The sequence below is a fragment of the Homo sapiens genome, chromosome 8, assembly GCF_000001405.40.
Source record: "Homo sapiens chromosome 8, GRCh38.p14 Primary Assembly".
In the NCBI taxonomy this organism is placed as follows: domain Eukaryota; kingdom Metazoa; phylum Chordata; class Mammalia; order Primates; family Hominidae; genus Homo; species Homo sapiens.
The window spans coordinates 33,484,338-33,503,249 of NC_000008.11; the positions used below are offsets into that span (position 1 = coordinate 33,484,338).

Below are 18,912 nucleotides of genomic sequence, written 5' to 3' on the forward strand. Positions count from 1 at the left end.
GTGCTGAGGTACAGGCGAGAGCCACCGCGCCCGGCCCGGCCGACAGTCTTTCTTCTATAATACGATACAAACTAGTAAAGATTTTCTTTTTCCCCTGGCGGAAAAGAGCTGTTAGGCTTCCAGATTTGTTTTTGTGGGTTATTAGACCTCTACTTTTCTTCTTGGTATTTTCCCTCCCTTATCAACTTTGTTTGTTGTCTCAAATAGGCAATGAGGAAGACACAGGTGTTTATTATTATTGGAATGCTCTTTCCATTTGGTCAGTGGTTTCTCAAAGCAGGAGGAATTCAAGTTCTGAGTTTCTAAAGTCAGGACCCGGTGCCGCACCCAACGTGGGCGTGGGGAGTGGCTAAGTCAGGGTCTGAGGGGCAGGGCCGGGGCCTGGCTGCGAGCTGGGGCCGGGGGACTCGGAGGAGCGGGGACCCAGCCCCGCCGCGCCGCCTGCAGCTTTCCCCAGCCTCCTCCCAGCAGAGGGGAGGCCCGACAGGGAGGGGTCCCATCCTCATGAACGGTCACAAACAGGGCGCTAGGGAAGCACGCCCGACCCCCGCGGTCCCCGCGCTCCAGGATTCGGCAGACTGCGCGCGTCCTGCCTCCCGCGGATCGCACTGGGTCCCAACAGGGTTCCCAGCTCCAGGCTGCGCCCATGAACAAGCCCAGCATTGCGGACGGGCGCGCGCAGACGCCAGCGTGGTGAAGACGCGGGGGCGCGCGCGCGGCGACGAGACTGCCAGGGGACGCTTCGCAACACCGAGAGTCTCAGCGTTTCTCGAGATAGGTGAGGCTGCGCGTTCCGGAACTGGTTTCCCGGAAGGAGCATGTCTGCGCCCGCGATCCGACCGGAAGTTGCACGCTGAGCCGCGGACACCATGCAGTCGGATGATGTGAGTCTCCTCCGGTTGTTCTTACACCCGGGGTTTGCGCAGGGAATTTTGCCCATTTTCGGACACTTAGAAAACGCGTACGCAGCGGGTCTGTTGCCTCGTGCCGCTCTGGATGTGAGGCTTCCGGAACCCCGATTTTCCAACATAGGTTCTCACGCGTGTCTAGCAGGGGTTTACTGCCCGCTGCCCCGGCCGGGTTGTGAGCACAGGACTCCGTCACCTCAGCCCATGGGGTCGATGTGTCCCGTCCTTCGTGCCTACCAATGCAGGACGTCGCGTCATGCTGTCAGCTGTCAGCTGTCAGCTCCGGACTTGGGGTGGGGGGCGGCCCGGGATTTGGCGAAGCTGACTCCAAGTTTAAGCGTCCTTCTCATCCATGTGCGCGTTACTCTTCCATCTGCGTTTCCTGTGTAGGCTTTTCTTTACATTTGCTCTACTTCTGCCTAAGTCATAATTTCGGAAGTATCCTAGATTCATTCATTGAGTTTTTTGTTGGAGAAATAACAGTGTGCTTACAGTGTGCCAGGCATTGTGGTAATTATTGAGGATTTGGTTAACCAGAAAAAATGTCCCACCTCTCCTGGAACACTGATGGGGGAGACACAGTAAACAAGTGAACAAATAAGTTAACAATTACACTATATAATCATACTATGAAAGAAAGACCAGAGATGATGAAGGACACTTCAGATAGGGTTACTCAGGGAAGGTTTCTCTGAACAGAAGATGTTTGAGTTGAGATCTAAAAGATAAGAATAAGCCAGTCACTGAGGAGCTGAGGAAAAAGCAATCCAGGCAGTAGGAACAGTAAAGTACAAAGAGTTGAAGATATGAGAGAATGAATATAAGGGTCATCAAAGTGACAATGTAAGACAGGTAATGAAATTAGATATGCTTGCCAGGGCGAGGTCATGCAGAATCTTGTAGGAAGTGTTTTTTAGGCCTTTTAATGATCTATGTTTGTGAAAAGTTGTCTAGTTGCTGTGTGAAGGACTTTTGGAGGGAAAAAATGAAAGCAAGGAGACTAGGGTATGACAAAGGTTGCTTCAAGCCAGACACAGTGGCTCATGCCTGTAATCCCAACGCTTTGGGAGGCTGGGGCTGGAGGATCGCTTGAGGCCAGGAGTTCGATTCCAGCCTAGGCAATAAAGTGAGACTCCATCTCTACAAAAAATAAAAAATTAGCTGGGCGCGGTGGTGTTCGCCTGAGGTCCCAGTTACTTCGAAGGCTGAGGCAGAAGGACTACTTGAGCCGAAAAGTCCGAGGCTGCAGTGAGCTATGATGGCACCACTGCACTCCAGCCTGGGTGACAGAGAGACCCTATCTCTAAAGTAAATAAATTTTTTTAAAAACGAAAGTGGCTTCGCCTAAGGTAGTAATTTAATGGTGGAGATGAAAAGAAATTGATGAATTTGAGACCTTTTACGTCAGTATAATTGACAAGACTTTGGTGATGGATTAAGTGAAGAAGAAAAGGAAGAAATCAAAGGATTTGGGATATAAATACATAGTTAAATGGTGATTTTATTTATTGAAGTGGGGGAACTCTAGGGAAGACTGTTCTTACGAGGGATGTGGAATTGAGAACTCCTTGTGGATATGTTAATATTTATGTTGCCTTTTAGATATTGAAGAGATGTCATATAAAAATCTGGTGCTCAGGAAAGAAGTCTGACCAGAAAATAACAATTTAGGAGTCATCCATTTAGAGATGATACTTAAAGCCACAAGCCTAAAAGAGCTCCCTTATTCTTCTTACCTGTTTCCTACCATCCCCCACCAGACACACCTATAAAATTCTTAAAGTGTGTTTTATTCTTTTGCCCTCTTCATATTTTTCCTTTAACAGTGGTAAAGCTTTTTTTTACCCCAGTTCCTCAAGGCAGCGCACTCAAAGGCTGTCATACTCTTACGCATGCTATGTGGCCTTTAGACCTGCTATTTTGTGATACTTTGTTTACATATCTTTCCCCTAACTAGATAGACGAAACTCTTTAAAGAGTATACTTTCTTTCATTCAGCAAATACTTAAGTGGCTACTGTGTGTCAGGACTTGGAGATGTCAGTGCCTTACATAAATTAAGTATATAATGCTGAATGAATAAAGAGCACATTAAGTACAGGAGGATAGCAGTAGATAGTTTTCTTTGCCCTCAATGAGATAAAATTATGGTATGTATATCTAAAAATCTAATACCATGAAGCCTTTTTTTTTTTTTTGGAGATGGATTCTCACTCTGTCGCCCAGGCTGGAGTGCAGTGGCGTGATCTCGGCTTACCGCAACTTCTGCCTCCTGGGTTCAAGCGATTCTCCTGCCTCAGCCTCTCAAGTAGCTGGGATTACAGGCACCTGCCACCACACCTGGCTAATTTTTCTATTAGTAGAGATGGGGTTTCACCATGTTGGCCAGGCTGGCCTCAAACTCCCAACCTCAAGTGATCCGCCTGCCTTGGCACTCAAAGTGCTGGGATTACAGGTGTGAGCCACTACACCCGGCCCATGAGAGCCTTTAATAATGGATAATGAACATAAGTAAAAAGGGAAAGTTACGAAGTATATAAAATGTGATTTCACAGAGTATGTCAAAAAAAGTCTGGAAAAATATTTACAGAATAGTAATGAAATTTTATCTCTGGGTAATGGAGTTATGATTATTGCTCATCTGTATTTAGCTTTTCTATAAGAATCTGCTGGGCTTTTTTGTTTTGTTTTGTTTTGTTTTGAGACGGAGTTTCACTCTTGTTGTCCAGGCTGGAGCGCAATGGCACAATCTCGGCTCACCGCAACCTCCCTCTCCTGGGTTCAAGCGATTCTCCTGCCCCAGCCTCCCGAGTAGCTAGGATTACAGGCATGCGCCACCATGCCCAGCTAATTTTGTATTTTTAATATAAACAGGGTTTCTCCATGTTAATCAGGCTGGTCTCAAACTCCTCACCTCAGGTGATCCGCCCAACTCAGCCTCCCAAAGTGCTGGGATTACAGGCGTGAGCCACCGTGCCCGGCCTTGCTGTTTGTATTTTAAAAAGTAAACAAGTCAGGCTATTTTACAAAACATTTCTTCCTCTCATTCCTGTCCTTGGGCATTGCCTTCTTGAATTAATATAGTATCTCTTGGGGCAGAGGATTTGAAATGGGCTTTTACTTTGTCTTGCAGGTTATCTGGGATACACTAGGAAACAAGCAATTTTGTTCCTTCAAAATAAGGTGAGTCTCAATTTACAACTTGGTCAAAGATTCCTTCAGTTGCCTCTTTGGCAACCCATTTTATAATCTTTGTTTCTTTTCTCCCATTCTAGAACCAAGACTCAGAGCTTCTGCCGAAATGAATATAGCCTGACTGGACTGTGTAATCGGTCATCCTGTCCCCTGGCAAATAGTCAGTATGCCACTATTAAAGAAGAGAAAGGTAACTCCCCAGTTTTAACTTCTAGAAGAACTGCTCCACAGCTTTTACAGGGATGTTCTTTAGTTTCTGTAAATAACACTAAAGCTATTTTACTTTATCTTCAGGACAGTGCTACTTGTATATGAAGGTTATAGAACGAGCGGCTTTTCCTCGGCGTCTCTGGGAACGGGTAAGCCTTACAACAAAACTACAGTGACCGCTGATCAAGAGCATCAAAGCCACATGCTTGACCATGATGCCCAATTCCATGACCATTAACTTTTGAGGCCATCCTCATTAGGCCATGGGTGTCACTGACAGTGAAAACCTAATGAATCATTTACACTTGCCCTTCAAACTTCCTGTTTCTGTTTGGTAGGTCCGGCTTAGTAAAAACTATGAGAAAGCACTGGAGCAAATAGATGAAAATCTGATTTACTGGCCCCGTTTCATTCGACACAAATGTAAGCAGAGATTCACCAAGATCACCCAATACCTAATTCGAATTAGAAAACTTACACTAAAGCGACAGTAAGTATTTGGATCATTCATTATTTTTAAATCTCTCTTTTTATGGAGCTTGTTTTGAAGTTGAGAAATTGTGAAACTTCGGGGCTTTCTATTCAACTTTGTGGAGTCTGTTATGATGTACTAAAGAGAAACTTTAGCTTTGACTAAAGGTGTGCCCTTTGATATGGCAGGACTTTTAAAACAGTAGAATACAACTTGATTATCACCCTCCTTGTCTGAAAATCTTTCAGAAAATTTTATTTTCTTTTTTGTTAAGACGGAGTCTCACTCTGTCGCCCAGGCTGGAATTTGCAGTGGCGCGACCTCAGCTCACTGCAACCTCCATCTCCCCGGTTGAAGCAATCCTCCCACCTCAGCCTCCTGAGCAGCTAGGATTACAGGCATGGACCACCATGCCTGGTTAATTTTTTTTGTATTTTTAGTAGAGATGGGGTTTCACCATGTTGGCCAGGCTGGTCTAGAATTCCTGACCTCAAGCGATCCGCCTTAGCCTCCCAAAGTGCTGGGATTACAGGCATGAGCCACCATGCCCAGCCTTCAGAAAATTTCCTCTATGACCCCCGAGGGAATCTTAACTTTAGAGATTTGAAAATGATCTAAGACATGTGACTATACAGGAATGTAAGAACTTTACTCTGGATTCACTGAAAACTAATTTTTAAAAGTGATATGAAATCCCCAGAATTAACAGAATACCTTCTCTAGGACTGTTAGGCCCTAATGCTTTTTGACTGTGATCTACATAGAATGCTAAAGATGATGTCAGACTTCGACAGAAAATTCTTTTTTCTTAGTTCACTGAAGTCTTAATTTTAGCATGGTGAATGCCCTGAGAATCCCAGAATGCCTGAACAAAAATGGCCGGATTAAAATACATGTAAAAATATATGACTTTTTATAGTATTAAATTTCTAGAAGCGTTTAGTGTATCTTGCTGTATTGAGCTGAGCCCTACAGCACCAACCTTGGGCTCCAAGGCTTGTTTGAATCGCTAGCCTCCGTGAATGCCTGAAGCTCAGCCATCCTGCCCTGCACATGAGTAGACTTCCATTTTAGTCACCAATTCCAATCCTTTTTTCTTCTCATCCTTAAAAAGGAACACAGCACATGACAGTGGATTTTCTGATATATTTTCTTTCCCTTAGGAGGAAACTTGTTCCTTTGAGTAAGAAGGTGGAGCGTAGGGAGAAAAGAAGAGAGGTAACTTATTGTTGAGATATTCATACCTTCTACATTTTCTTTCTGGGGGTCTCTTATAGATTCAGTCACCATCATTATGTAAACTGTTGAGGCCTTGGATAATGGTTCACTAATAGATAACTATTAGTTGCCTAAGACATTTAATTTTTCATATTTTAAGATTATGATTTTCAGCACAGGTTAAAGTATGTGTGCTTTGGGGATATATGTAATGGAGAACAGAAAGAATCCACAACTCCTTTTTCTGAATTTCTTGTGGTCAAATATTTCAGACTTCAGAATTTTGATGTTGCATATTTTACATACTACATAAAACCTTTAGTAGATTTTGAGCATTCTAATCAAATGGAATTTCTGCAGTGAAATACAATACAGGCATGCAGTGAGTAATAACATCATGGAAAATTGGGTATCCGTCCCCTCAAGCATTTATCCTTTGTGTTACAAACAGTTCAATTATCCTTACAGTTATTTTAAAATGTACAATTAAATAATTGACTATAGTCACGCTGTTGTGCTGCTAGCAAATACTAGGTCTTATTTCATTCTTCCTATTTTTTTTAGCGGGGGTACCCATTAATCATCCCCACCCCCATTACCCTTCCCAGCCTCTGGTAACCATCCTTCTACTCTGTATATCCATGAGTTCAATTGTTTTGATTTTTTGATCCCACAAATAAGTGAAAATGTGCAGTGTTTGCCTTTCTGTGCCTGGCTTCTTTCACTTAACATAATGACCTCCGGTTCCATCCATGTTGTTACAAATGACAGAATCTCATTCTTTTTAATGGCTGGATAGTACTCTATTGTGTATAAGTACCATATTTTCTTTATCCATTCATCTATTGATGGACACTTAGGTTGCTTCCAAATTTTGGCTGTCGTGAACAGAGCTGTAACACACATGGAGTGTGGGTATCCCTTTGATACACTAATTTCCTTTTGGGTCTGTACCCAGAAGTGGGACTGCTAGATGGTATGGTAGCTCTAGTTTTAGTTTTTTGAGGAAGCTCCAAACTGTTCTCCATAGTGGTTGTACTAATTTACATTCCCACCACCAGTGCACAAGGGTTCCCTTTCTCCACATCCTCTCTAGCATTTGTTATTGCCTGTCTTTTAAAAGATAAAAGCCATTTTAACTGGGGTGAGATATTTCATTGTTTTGATTTGCATTTCTCTGATGATCAATGATGTTGAACACCTTTTCATATGCCTGTTTGCCATTTGTATGTCTTCTTTTGAAAAATGTCTACTCAAATCTTTTGCCTCCCCAATCCCTGCCCCCTGCTTTTTTTTTTTTTTTTTTTTTTTTGAGACAAGGTCTCACTCTATTGTCCAGGCTGGAGTGCAGTGGTGCGATCTTGGCTCACTGCAACCTCTGCTTCCTGGATTCAAGTGATTCTCATGCCTCAGCCTCCCAAGTAGCTGGGACTACAGGTGCATGCCACCATGCCTGGCTAATTTTTATATATTTTGTAGAGACGAGGCTTCACTATGTTGCCCATGCTGGTCTTGAACTCCTGGGCTCAAGCAATCCAACCACTTCAGCCTCCCAAAGTGCTGGGATTACAGGTGTGAGCCACCATGTCTGGCCCTTTTATTCACTTTTTAATCCAATAATTAGAATTTTTTCCTATAGAGTTGTTTGAGCTCCTTATATAGTCTGGATTTTGTTTTGTTTTGTTTTTGAGATGGAGTCTCATTCTGTCACCCAGGCTGGAGTGCTATGGGGCAATCCCAGCTCACTGCAACCTCTGCCTCCCAGGTTCAAGCGATTCTTGTGCCTCAGCCTCCCAAGTAGCTGGGATGCCAGGTGTGCACCACCATGCCTGGCTGTTTGTTTTGTATTTTTAGTAGAGATGGGGTTTAGCCATGTTGGCCAGGCTGGTCTCGAACTCCTGACCTCAGGTGATCTACCTGCCTCAGCCTCCCAGAGTGCTGGGATTACAGACGTGAGCCACCGCGCTGGCCTGTATTCTGGTTATTAATCCCTTGTCAGGTGGATAGTTTGCCCAGTCAGTGGATTGTCTCTTCACTTTGTTGTTTCCTTTGCTGTGCAGAAGCTTTTTAACTTGATGTGCTCCCATTTGTCCATTTTTGCTTTGGTTACCTTTGCTTGTGGGATATTAAGAAATTTTGCCCAGATCTATGACCTGGAGTTTTCTCAGTGTTTTCTTGTAGTTTTGTAGTTGGAGGTCTTAGTTTTTTAATCCATTTTGGTTTGATTTTTGTATATAGCACAAGATAGGGGTCTAGTTTCATTCTTCTGCATATGGAGATCAAGTTTTTCCAGCACCATTTATTGAAGAGACTGTCTTTTCCCTAGTGTATGTTCGTGGCACGTTTGTCGAAAATGAGTTCACTGTACGTGTGTGGAATTGTTTCTGGGTTCTCTATTCTGTTCCATTGGTCTCTGTGTCTGTTCTTATGCCATTACTATAGTGTTGTGGTTGCTATAGGTCCATAGTATAATTTGAAGTTAGGTAATGTGATTCCTCTAGGTTTGTTTTGTGTTTTTTTTGTTGTTTTTTTTTGTTTGTTTTGCTGTTTTGTTTGGGATAGCTTTAGCTATCCTAGATCTTTTGTGGTTTCATAACAATTTTAGGATTTTTTTTTCTATTTCTGTGAAGAATGTCATTGGTATTTTTCTTTTTTTTATATTTATATTTGTCATTGGTATTTTGATAGGGATAGCTTTTCTTTTGATGCTTCTGTCCCCATTAATCACAGTTATGTATCTAAAATCTGTATCATTGGTCTGCAAAGTTGTGCTCACCTCAGTAAAATTTTTGAACATGTATTCCCCAATGTTATTTATAAATATTTTATTTTGAGACAAAGGTTCATTCTGTTTCTCAGGCTGGAATGCAGTGGTGCAGTTTTGGCTCACTGCAACCTCTGTCTCCTGGATTCAAGCAATTCTTGTGCCTCAGCCTCCCAAGTAGCTGGGATTCCAGGCATGCACCACCACACCCGGCTAATTTTTGTATTTTTAGTAGAGATGGGGTTTCACCACATTGGCCAGGCTGGTCTCAAACTCCCAACCTGAGGTGATTCACCCGCCTTAGCCTCCCAAAGTGCTGGGATTACAGGCTATAAATGTTATTATACATACACACTTCCACTAATAATACAATGTGTATTATAACTAATTGTGATGTAGTGAAACAAAAGTCTGCTTCTTAGCTGAGTATGATTTTGTCTTGAAGGGCTGTCATACATAACTGAGGGATTGTAGAGAAGTGCATTGTTGATAGGTGGTCTCAAGTACTTTAATTTTTCATTATGCTCCATTAGTTATGGAGCGGCTTTTTTTCAAGTCCAGTTAGTGAGTTTTCATCTCCAGTTGTCAAACAGGTGTTCCTACAAACCTTTCAGAAGAAATTAATTTTTTCTATTTTCACCAATTGAGTTTGTAACCCTCTGAAAAATGTAGATTTGGAAGAGTTTTAAATGCATTACAATATTCTGTTTCCACATTTTTAAAGTGTGTGATTGCAATTTTTATAGGAGACATGTTTTCAGCAGTGCCATATGTAGATATAATCAGTTTTCTTTTCACAACCTTCACAGAACAAGTTTTTTTTTTTTCAAAAAACAATTGTCTTCCTCAAACTATTAAAATGTTGCTTTTGTTTGGAAGACACAGATTAAGCGTATTTATTTTTAAAAATGTCTACTGGGTTACATAAAAAGATTGGCAAATTTGGAATATTTTTCTTTTTGTGAAAAGTGCATGGATCATCTTTAGGTTCTACAGCTTTTGCTCTGTCGCCCAGGCTGGAGTGCAGTGGCGCCATCTCGGCTCACTGCAACCTCCACCTCCTGGGTTCAAGCAATTCTTGTGCCTCAGCCTCCTGAGTAACTGGGATTACAGGCATACACCACTCTGCCCGGCTAATTTTTTGTGTTTTTAGTAGAGACGGGGTTTCACGACGTTTGTCAGGCTGGTCTTGATCTCCTGACGTCGGGTGATCTGCCCACCTCGACCTCTCAAAGTGCTGGGATTACAGGCATGAGCCACCTTGCCAGCCTGGTTCTACAACTTTTAAAAATACTAACCCATTAGATAACCAGCATACTTTTATAACTACTCTCTATCTTTGGCAGAATATTCAGTGTCATCTATGAATCCGCTTAACTAAGCAAACATAAACAGTTAAATAGTCGTCTAAATAAACAAGTGAGACCACCACTTGCAAGCCCTATCTGCCGTATTCCTCCCTTGAGATATCTGGCTCACTGTATCTGACACACAACTATTTACTTTATAGACAGAGTCAAGGCACCAATGTCAGTGTACAAGAAAAGTAGTAATGATGTTAAATTTTTTAAGGAAAAAGAGATATGTGGAAGTTTTGAATATTTTCTTCCTACACTTCAGCGGATACCCTTGAAGTGTAAACACCCCACTCTAGAGAACAACATGGAACATCGCTGTAGCCCTTTTTTTTTTTAAGATGGAGTCTTGCTCTGTTGCCCAGGCTGGAGTGCAGTGGCGTGATCTCGGCTCACTGCAAGTTCCGCCTCCTGGGTTCACACCATTCTCCTGCCTCAGCCTCCCGAGTAGCTGGGACTATAGGCGCCCGCTAACATGCCTGGCTAATTTTCCATGTGCCCCTACACAGTTTTACGTAATCATTCTAACATAACTTACAGATATAACACTTTAAAACCCTCTATGACTTTCACTATCAAATTAATGCACCATCCTGGGCTATTGTGTGGTAGTACAGGTTGATGTCATGTGTCATCTCCAATGAGAGATCACTGGAGGAAGAGATTTTTACCTATTCTGTCACATGGAATCTAGCATGATTTTAGAAAATGTAAACGAATGAAGATTTCTGTTCTCTTTTCTCAGCTTTTACAAAGTCTGGCTCCAGAGTTGCTAGATTATTTCTGAGACACTTAAATGTATATAGACTTACATGCTTTGTATCTATCAAAGCCTGTGTTAGAATTTAATTTAGAATGTTGTTTACAAAACCATAGGAATTTCAAAATGGAAATGTTCCCAAGGAAGTTTACAAGAGAAAGAAGAAGAAATCTATCTCGTTGGAAAGGCAAAAGCCAGTATTAGCAAGGAGGGGAAATAATTACATTGTCTTTCTTATAAACAACTTGGTAGTTTCTTCCATTTTTATAAGATGAGTAATGAGCACTGATGAATTAAACAGATTTGCTCTTTCCCCCTTATAGGAAAAGGCATTAATAGCTGCTCAGCTGGACAATGCCATTGAGAAGGAATTACTGGAGAGACTGAAACAAGATACGGTGAGAAAGCCATTAGCTTTGGGGTACTGAAATTTTAAGTGGTAGTATGTTGCTAAGACATATTGGGAATTTTTTTTTTTTTTTTTTTTTTTTTTTTTTTTTTTTTTTTTTTTTTTTTGAGATGGAGTCTTGCTTTGTTGCCCAGGTTAGAGTGCAGTGGTGCAATCTCGGCTCACTGCAACCTCTGCCTCCCAAGTTCAAGCAATTCTCCTGCCTCAGCCTCCTGAGTAGTTGGGATTACAGGCACCACCACTGCACCCAGCTAATTTTTGTATTTTTAGTAGAGACAGGGTTTCACCATCTTGGCCAGGCTGGTCTTGAACTCCTGACCTCGTGAGCCACTGTGCCTGGCTGGGAAATGTTTTTTAACATGATATGAAGATCTCCACTCGAATTTTATCCCTGGAATAAAATAAATCCATATCGGCCTGGCTTCCTTGCTTTAATTAATGCAAGCACATAAAATGCTTTGGTTACCCTTGATACTCCATTCACTATAAGAGACCTTTCCCTTTTTGCCATTATTCTCAGCTCCATTCCCCAAGACAACAATTCCAGATTTCTGTATAAAAGCCATGGGGTTTTGCTTCTCCTGCATATTACCCTAGTCTTTTAAGGCTCTTTGAAATAAGTTTTTATTCTCTTTTTAAAAATTAGTGTTGTTTATACAGACAACATGACTAAAGTATGCTTTTTCCTTATTATTTCCCCTTGTCAGCAAAATGACATTTGTCCCAATGCATGGGTTTTGTAGACTATTACATTTTAAATTATTTTAAAATGTAACTCCATAGAAGTTACCTATTTGATACTAACTGCAGATGATTTAAATGTTCAAAAGAACATGCTTTTTTAAGACACTGCTGGCTCTACACTTAAAAATATTACTCATCAAATTAAGTATTCTGATTTAATCACTGAGGAAAAAGTAATATTCTCCACAGAAAGTGGAACTTCAAGTGTAATATCCAAATGTAGTTAAAGCCAATCTGTGTTTATGTTCTTCAGTATGGCGACATCTACAACTTCCCCATTCATGCCTTCGACAAAGCCCTGGAACAACAGGAGGCAGAGAGTGACTCTTCAGATACTGAGGAAAAAGATGATGATGATGATGATGAGGAAGTAAGTCTTGTTTTTGTTTTGCCAAACCTACTAGATACCATTTGTATAAAACTGAGAAACAGAATATCATCTTCAGTCCGCTAACCAAAAATGATATGTCTTCTTTTTTCTTTCATGTGATTAATTTTGGTTTAGCACTGGTTGCTCTGTTCTTCAGGCTAACCAACAAACCATTAACAATTTTAGTCTTAATTTATTGGTCTTCTAAAATTGTTCCTGCAAGGTGACAAATTATAAAGCCTTTCCTGTCTATATGTAGTTTTTAACCATAATGAGGATGTTTTATTGCTAATAATTTAAATCAAGAATAAGAATGATCTGGTAGCCCTAAAATTTTTAAAATTCAGAAGCATTAAATTTAGAAAGAACTAAATTTTCATTGCCTAGTGAAAAGACTGTGGTTCTCATTATGTTATTTTGTACTTACTTAGATGTCTAATCTGAATCTTCATTATGTATTCTGAACCTAACAGTTATGTTTTATTTATAGGATGTGGGGAAAAGAGAATTTGTCGAAGATGGTGAGGTAGATGAGAGTGACATAAGTGATTTTGAGGTGAGCTTTATGGGTAAAAAGATTGTCCTTTGGCCTGCAGCAAAAAAAAAAAAAAAACAAAAACAGGGAGGTGGCCAGGCACCGTGGTTCACTCCTATAATTGCAGCACTTTGGGAGGCCAAAATGGGAGGATTGTTTGAGCTCAGGAGTTCGAGACCAGCCTGAAGAACATAGTGAGACCTCATCTCTAATAAAAAAAAAAATTTTTTTTTTTAGATGAAGTTTCGCTCTGTAGCTCAGGCTAGAGTGCCATAGTGCAATCTGGGCTCATCGCAGCCTCAGCCTCCCGGGTTCAAGCGATTCTCCTCCTTCAGCCTCCCAAGTAGCTGGAATTACAGGCATGTGCCACTCCACCCGGCTAATTTTTTGTATTTTTAGTAGACACGGGGTTTCACCATGTTGGCCAGGCTGGTCTAGAACTCCAGACCTCTGGTAATCCGCCTGCCTCAGTCTCCCAAAGTGCTAAGATTAGAGGCATGAGTCACAGGGCCTGGCCTAAAATTTTTTAAAAATCATGACCAGGCGTGGTGGCTCACGCCTATAATCCTAGCACTTTGGGAGGCCGAGGTGGGCGGATCACATGAGGTCAGGAGTTCGAGACCAGCCTGGCCAACATAGCAAAACCCCGTGTCTACTAAAAATACAAAAATTAGCTAGGTATGGTGGTGCATGCCTGTAATCCCTGCTACTTGGGAGGCTGAGGCAGAAGAATCGCTTGAACCTAGGAGATGGAGGTTGCAGTGAGCTGAGAGCGCACCACTACACTCCAGCCTGGGCAACAGAGCGAGACTCCGTCTCCAAAAAAAAAAAAAAAAAAAATTAAAATTCAGCTGGATGTGGTGGCGGTTGCCTGTAGTCCCAGCTACTCAGGAAGCTGAGGTGGGAGGATTGTTGACTACAGCAGTTTGAGGCTGCAGTGAGCCATGACTATGCCACTGCACTCCTGCTTGGGCAACAGAGCAAGACCCCGTCTCAAAAAAAAAAAAAAAAAAAAATTAAAGAAAGGGACAATTTCTGAACACAGACATAGACAAATCAATGCCCTAGTCTGTTCTAGATTGAGGGGACAAGGAAGGGAGTTTGGAGAAATCTAGTGTTTTCCCTCTTCCTTTATCTTTTCTCTCCCCGTAATAGGATATGGATAAACTGGATGCCAGCAGTGATGAAGATCAGGATGGTAAATCCTCCAGTGAGGAGGAGGAAGAAAAGGCCCTTAGTGCGAAACACAAAGGCAAAATGCCCTTGAGAGGACCACTGCAGAGAAAACGAGCCTATGTGGAAATAGAATACGAGCAGGAGACAGAGCCCGTGGCCAAAGCCAAAACCACGTGATTTCCCTTTCAGCATTTATACCCAGGACTGAACATGCAGAACTGTTTTTTTTTTTTTTTTATCTTAAACACATACACACCTCCAGTTTTTGCTCTTTTGTGTTGTACTGAACACAATATTTGTGTTTTTATTATTTATGCCACGTCAGTGGGGCAAGAAATCTGGAGTGAGTGAAGAAAGCTAAGTTGTGAACAAGAGTGTTTTTATAGCATATGTGTTGAAGTAACAGCTTGTGCCCGAGAAACTTAACAGATGAGTTCTTGAATCTGGGATGAGATGACGGATGTAAATATTTCTAAATTTTAAATGCTACATTACTTGGTGTCCTTTTTTCTCCCAAACTTTATTTAGAAATGGAAGGAGTTCAATTTTTTCTTGTTCTACTTTCCCTATTCTTATGGAGGTAAAAGGAAAGGAAGGAAGGAAAAAGCAGCTTTCACTTACAAAGTTTCGTGTAAAAATATCTTTTTTTCTTAAATAACTCCATTCATACAAATTGGGATGGGAAGAAAATCCTTTCCTCTTGGGAAAGTAATACAAGTCTTAAGTTCCATTGTAGGGTGCGCCTTCAGAAACCTGCTGCACTTTTCTGATATAGTTCACCACTTTTCTGTCTTCACAGCTTTGGGGAATTTTGGCCAGGAGACCCTGAAACATGAAACCAAACAGGCTTTGATATTTTTTTTTTTTTAATTACTTTCCCCTTTTGCTTGATTCTTCTTCCTTGGTATCATATTCAAAGGAGGAAAGAATGGATGACACTTAGGGACAGGTCACTAAGCAGAATAGGTATTAGTTGGTTTTTTATTATTTTTAAATTTATATAGCTCTCATGTATTGAAGGTGCTACTTTAAAAACTGTGTTAATGTACTTGCAAATCTCCTGCTGGCTCATGAAACAGCAGAATTCCAGCCAAGGCAAATTCAGTTGGATCTAGGGCTTGAAAACTGCCCAAGATTAAAGAGCTAAGATGAAATAGTTTGAATAAACTGGTAAAATAACAATTCATACTATCTCTACATATTTTTAGGATATGAATTTTTTTTTCCTGCTGGGTAGATTGTCCAGTGACTTATGGCATGAATTTCTTTTCATGCTACCTTCAATCTTCAACTAAAGATTTCTAAAAGGGGTAAGAAATGAGGCAGTAGTTTATTAAATACATAGAAGTACACAGCTATTATATGCTGTGGCTTTGAGAAGTTAACTTTTGTGGAATATGAAACCAAAGGAAGAATTTCCATGTAGATAAATTAAGAATAGGGAAAAACATCTACCTAAAAGATGGTTGTCCCTAAAAAACTGGAAACATCTGAAATGCTCTATTTATGTTATTATTCCTGGGAGCTTATAGCCCATTATTTTTACTTTTTTTTTTTAATTCAGAAGACTAGAACAGAACTTAAATTTTACAAACTTTTGATCATAATGCTTTTGCCCATACTGTCTCGTCCTTAGCCCCAGTGACATGTGCTGATCCTCCTGCCTTTAGTTCTAAATGGTTCTGAATAGCTTTAAAAGATGAATAAGAAAAAAGATCAAGCTCTTTTGAGGCTAGAGGGCTCATATGGAGATCTAAAACCCTCCATGTTCATTTCCAGACTTGGTCAGGCACATACATAGTAAATTATAATCAATCATGGGAATTACATAAGGATAATGAGGCCCAACTGAAACCAAGTTTCAGTCTGCCTTACCTTTACCCGTCCTTGAGAACAGCGGTCCAGGAGAATCAGGCAGTCTGTGGCCTCCTGTAGCAGGGCGCTCTTAACAGACTCAGGTGTAAGGTTTGGATCCCTTGCTACATCACAAATCAGTTTCAAGAGGGCCTTCAGTAAGACCACAAGTCTGCAGGAAACTCTGGAATCAGGAAGAAAAGCTATGTTCATACTCTAAATCTGGATATTAAAATTGGAAGAGACTTCAAAGACTGTCAAGTGGAAAGCTATCATTTCCTAAATTAAGGAACTTAGGTCAAAGTTAAATGAAAAAGACCTAAAAACAGAACCAAAGACAGCCTCTAGATTTCTTACCCTCAAGTCTCCTGTTAGCATACTGCCTATACACACAGACACACCCTCTGCCACACTGCTCTCTTCCTTCCAGAAGCTTGGTTCTACTGTAAGCAACAGCTCCTTCATGGGCTGAGAAGGGGAAACCAGGATCTCCCCAACCAAGGGCCTATACTTTTATTTTTCAACTCTATTAACTGAACTATGCTTGGAGAGAGCCCTGAATCCTTTAACTTTAATGCCATCTTAGGCCTGGAAGTTAGAGTGAGGGAAATGAGCTTGGCTTCTGGGACTGTGTCAAGTTGAATTTTCTGTCATTTAATTTCAGATCCTAGCTCATCATCAGTGAAGTCCAGCCTACTTACTTGTAACTATTAACCTTTCTAAAAGTTTTCATCGCCTTGGTAAAGCTCCAGAAATGGACAATGCTAGTGACTGCACAATATTGTGACTGTACTTAATGCCACTGAACTGTACACTTTAAAATGGAAAATTTATATGTATTTTTACCACAATAAACAAAAAACCCTAAAAAAACTTTAATGAAAGGTGGAAAATAATTTAACTTACAATGTGAAAATACAATGTGAAATGTACAATAAATCATATTTATGGACAGATGCGTGACTGGGAGAAAAAAGTTTTCATCTCTATCTAAATACTCCTCATTTTCCTATGGTTTGGGTGCCTCTCAGCCCTCGTTATTCAACTTATAATCGGCTCTGTTTTCCATTTCCCATGCTTCACCCCCTCATACGCATACACACATATTCCTTTTCTACCTCCCTACATTTATTCACTCTCCCTTCTTGGAATCTTGGTCTCTGCTCTTTAAAGACCTGACAATCTGATTCGATTTTATTCATCCATTGATTCATTCTCTTCCAGTCCATTCATTCTTTGAATATTTGTATACCTAATACTAGGTACTGAACATACTTTGGGAGAATATAATAGATGTGGTTTTCCGTTATCCTGGAGATTATAATTCCGTAGGGAGAAAGATAGTAAACAAATGCAACCTAGTTACCAATATGACTAAGGGAAAGGTTGTCATGGGGAAATGTTACTCTGGATTCCTTGCACATTTATAAGGAAGTGAGAGAATACGGTGCAGAATAGCTACTGTATGTTGTTGGGGCACTAGATTCTCTGGCTGAATTCAATTTTCAGCTATGCAAGAGATGCTTCTGCTGACTCCACAGTTTGGGTTCCAGTTCCTGACACCTACCTCAAGCCAGAGTTGGAATGATTTCCAAGCAAGTATATCCTACATTAGTATGCTTTTTTTAAATTTTTATTATTTTTTTTTATATTTTGAGACAGAGTCTCGCTCCGTCACCCAGTCTGGAGTGCAGTGGTTCCATTGCACCTCACTGCAACCTCTGCCTCCTGGGTCCAAGTGATTCTACTGCTTCAGCCTCCTGAGTAGCTGGGACTACAGGTGCGCGCCACCATGCCCGGCTAAGTTTTGTATATTTAGTAAAGACGGGGTTTCACCATATTGGCCAGGCTGGTCTTGAACTCCTGACCTTAGGTGATCCACCAGCCTTGCCCTCCCAAAGTGCTGGGATTACAGGCGTGAGCCACCGCACCTGGCCTCTAGATTGGTATTCTGATCACTGCTCTGCAGATGTTAAATGATGTGCTATGAAGTACTCTATTCTCAATTAGATTTAAAGAACATTAGGATTAACAAAGTTAAGCAAATGTTTTATTGCAACACTTCTAAATGACCTTTAATCTTCTAATATGCATTCTAAATCTAGAGAGAGGTACAACCTGTATGGTTTCCCAACCTATTTGACCACAGAATTTTTTTTTTTTTCCTGTGGGGCATCAAAGAGTACCTAGATGGAGATTCTGCAAAACACCAATCTAAACCATTCTTAAGATATATAGCCAGGCACAGTGGCCCACGCCTATAATCCCAGCACTTTAGGAGGCTGAGGAGGGGAAATCACGAGGTCAGGAGTTCGAGACCAGCCTGGCCAACATGGTGAAACACCATCTCTACTAAAAATTTTTTAAAAATTAGCCAGGCATGGTGGAGGGCACCTGTAATCCCAGCTACTCAGGAGGCTAAGGCAGGAGAATCACTTGAATCCAGGAGGCAGAGGTTGCAGTGAGCTGAGATCGCGCCATTGCACTCCGGCCTGGGTGACAGAGCAATACTCCATCTCAAAAACAAAAACAAAAACAAAAGGCTGGGCATGGTGGCTCACGCCTGTAACCCCAGCACTTTGGGAGGCCAAGGCGGGTGGATTACAAGGTCAGGAGTTCAAGACCAGCCTGGCCAACATAGTGAAACCCCATCTCTACTGAAAATACAAAAAATTAGCCGGGCCTGGCGGTGGGCGCCTGTAATCCCAGCTACTTGGGAGACTGAGGTAGGAGAATCACTTGAACCCAGGAGGCAGAGGTTGCAGTGGGCAGAGATCGCGCCACTGGACTCCAGCCTGGGCGACAGTGTGAGACTCCATTTCAAAAAAAAAAAAAAAAAAAACAAAAAAGATATACTAGAGTTTCAAAGAGAAGCGATTTAACTGTCAGAATCTGGAACTGATACCTGGTAAAAGAGTCAACTATGAGCACCTCAAGTAACTA

The 18,912-nt window shown here is 41.3% G+C and overlaps 2 protein-coding genes across 6 annotated transcripts in view, besides 5 other annotated features; one reads left to right on the forward strand and one right to left on the reverse strand.

Moving 5' to 3' along the window:
* Positions 1 to 637: an enhancer, noted in NCBI's record as "H3K27ac hESC enhancer chr8:33341856-33342492 (GRCh37/hg19 assembly coordinates)". NCBI's record gives its function as "activates a minimal SCP1, AML or CMV promoter by ChIP-STARR-seq in primed H9 embryonic stem cells {active_cell/tissue: H9 hESC(primed)}" and the evidence as "EXISTENCE:reporter gene assay evidence [ECO:0000049][PMID:30033119]".
* Positions 265 to 454: a silencer, noted in NCBI's record as "silent region_19097". NCBI's record gives its function as "represses an Ori minimal core promoter by ATAC-STARR-seq in GM12878 lymphoblastoid cells {active_cell/tissue: GM12878}" and the evidence as "EXISTENCE:reporter gene assay evidence [ECO:0000049][PMID:35858748]".
* Positions 625 to 774: an enhancer, noted in NCBI's record as "active region_27219". NCBI's record gives its function as "activates an Ori minimal core promoter by ATAC-STARR-seq in GM12878 lymphoblastoid cells {active_cell/tissue: GM12878}" and the evidence as "EXISTENCE:reporter gene assay evidence [ECO:0000049][PMID:35858748]".
* Positions 625 to 852: a biological region, named in NCBI's record as "ReSE screen-validated silencer GRCh37_chr8:33342520-33342707".
* Positions 665 to 852: a silencer, noted in NCBI's record as "fragment chr8:33342520-33342707 (GRCh37/hg19 assembly coordinates)". NCBI's record gives its function as "represses an EF-1alpha promoter that drives an FKBP-Casp9 reporter gene in an ReSE screen in K562 erythroleukemia cells {active_cell/tissue: K562}" and the evidence as "EXISTENCE:reporter gene assay evidence [ECO:0000049][PMID:32094911]".
* MAK16 (MAK16 homolog) lies at positions 845 to 16,925 on the forward strand. The gene is made up of 10 exons (NM_032509.4): positions 845 to 884; positions 4,041 to 4,090; positions 4,183 to 4,292; positions 4,397 to 4,461; positions 4,651 to 4,802; positions 5,948 to 6,002; positions 11,205 to 11,279; positions 12,288 to 12,404; positions 12,895 to 12,960; positions 14,095 to 16,925. Exons 1-10 carry the CDS (start codon positions 870 to 872, stop codon positions 14,290 to 14,292), a joined length of 903 nt encoding a protein of 300 aa, NP_115898.2. The 5' UTR covers positions 845 to 869; the 3' UTR covers positions 14,293 to 16,925.
* Positions 14,385 to 18,912, reverse strand: part of TTI2 (TELO2 interacting protein 2) — a 14,414-nt gene continuing 9,886 nt past the window's right edge. For all 5 annotated transcript variants that reach the window (NM_001330505.3, NM_001102401.4, NM_001440381.1 and 2 more), the window contains 2 exons: positions 15,991 to 16,153; positions 14,385 to 14,940 (listed from right to left, as the gene is read on the reverse strand). In NM_001330505.3, the coding sequence (NP_001317434.1) occupies positions 14,836 to 14,940; positions 15,991 to 16,153 (268 nt within the window). In that variant the 3' untranslated portion in view covers positions 14,385 to 14,835. The remainder of the gene's footprint in view (positions 14,941 to 15,990; positions 16,154 to 18,912) is intronic.

Coding starts and splice junctions, on each gene's coding strand:
- MAK16 (NM_032509.4), top strand. Junction 4,091..4,182: donor TTTTGTTCCTTCAAAATAAG/GTGAGTCTCAAT, acceptor CTCCCATTCTAG/AACCAAGACTCAGAGCTTCT. Junction 4,462..4,650: donor CTCGGCGTCTCTGGGAACGG/GTAAGCCTTACA, acceptor TCTGTTTGGTAG/GTCCGGCTTAGTAAAAACTA.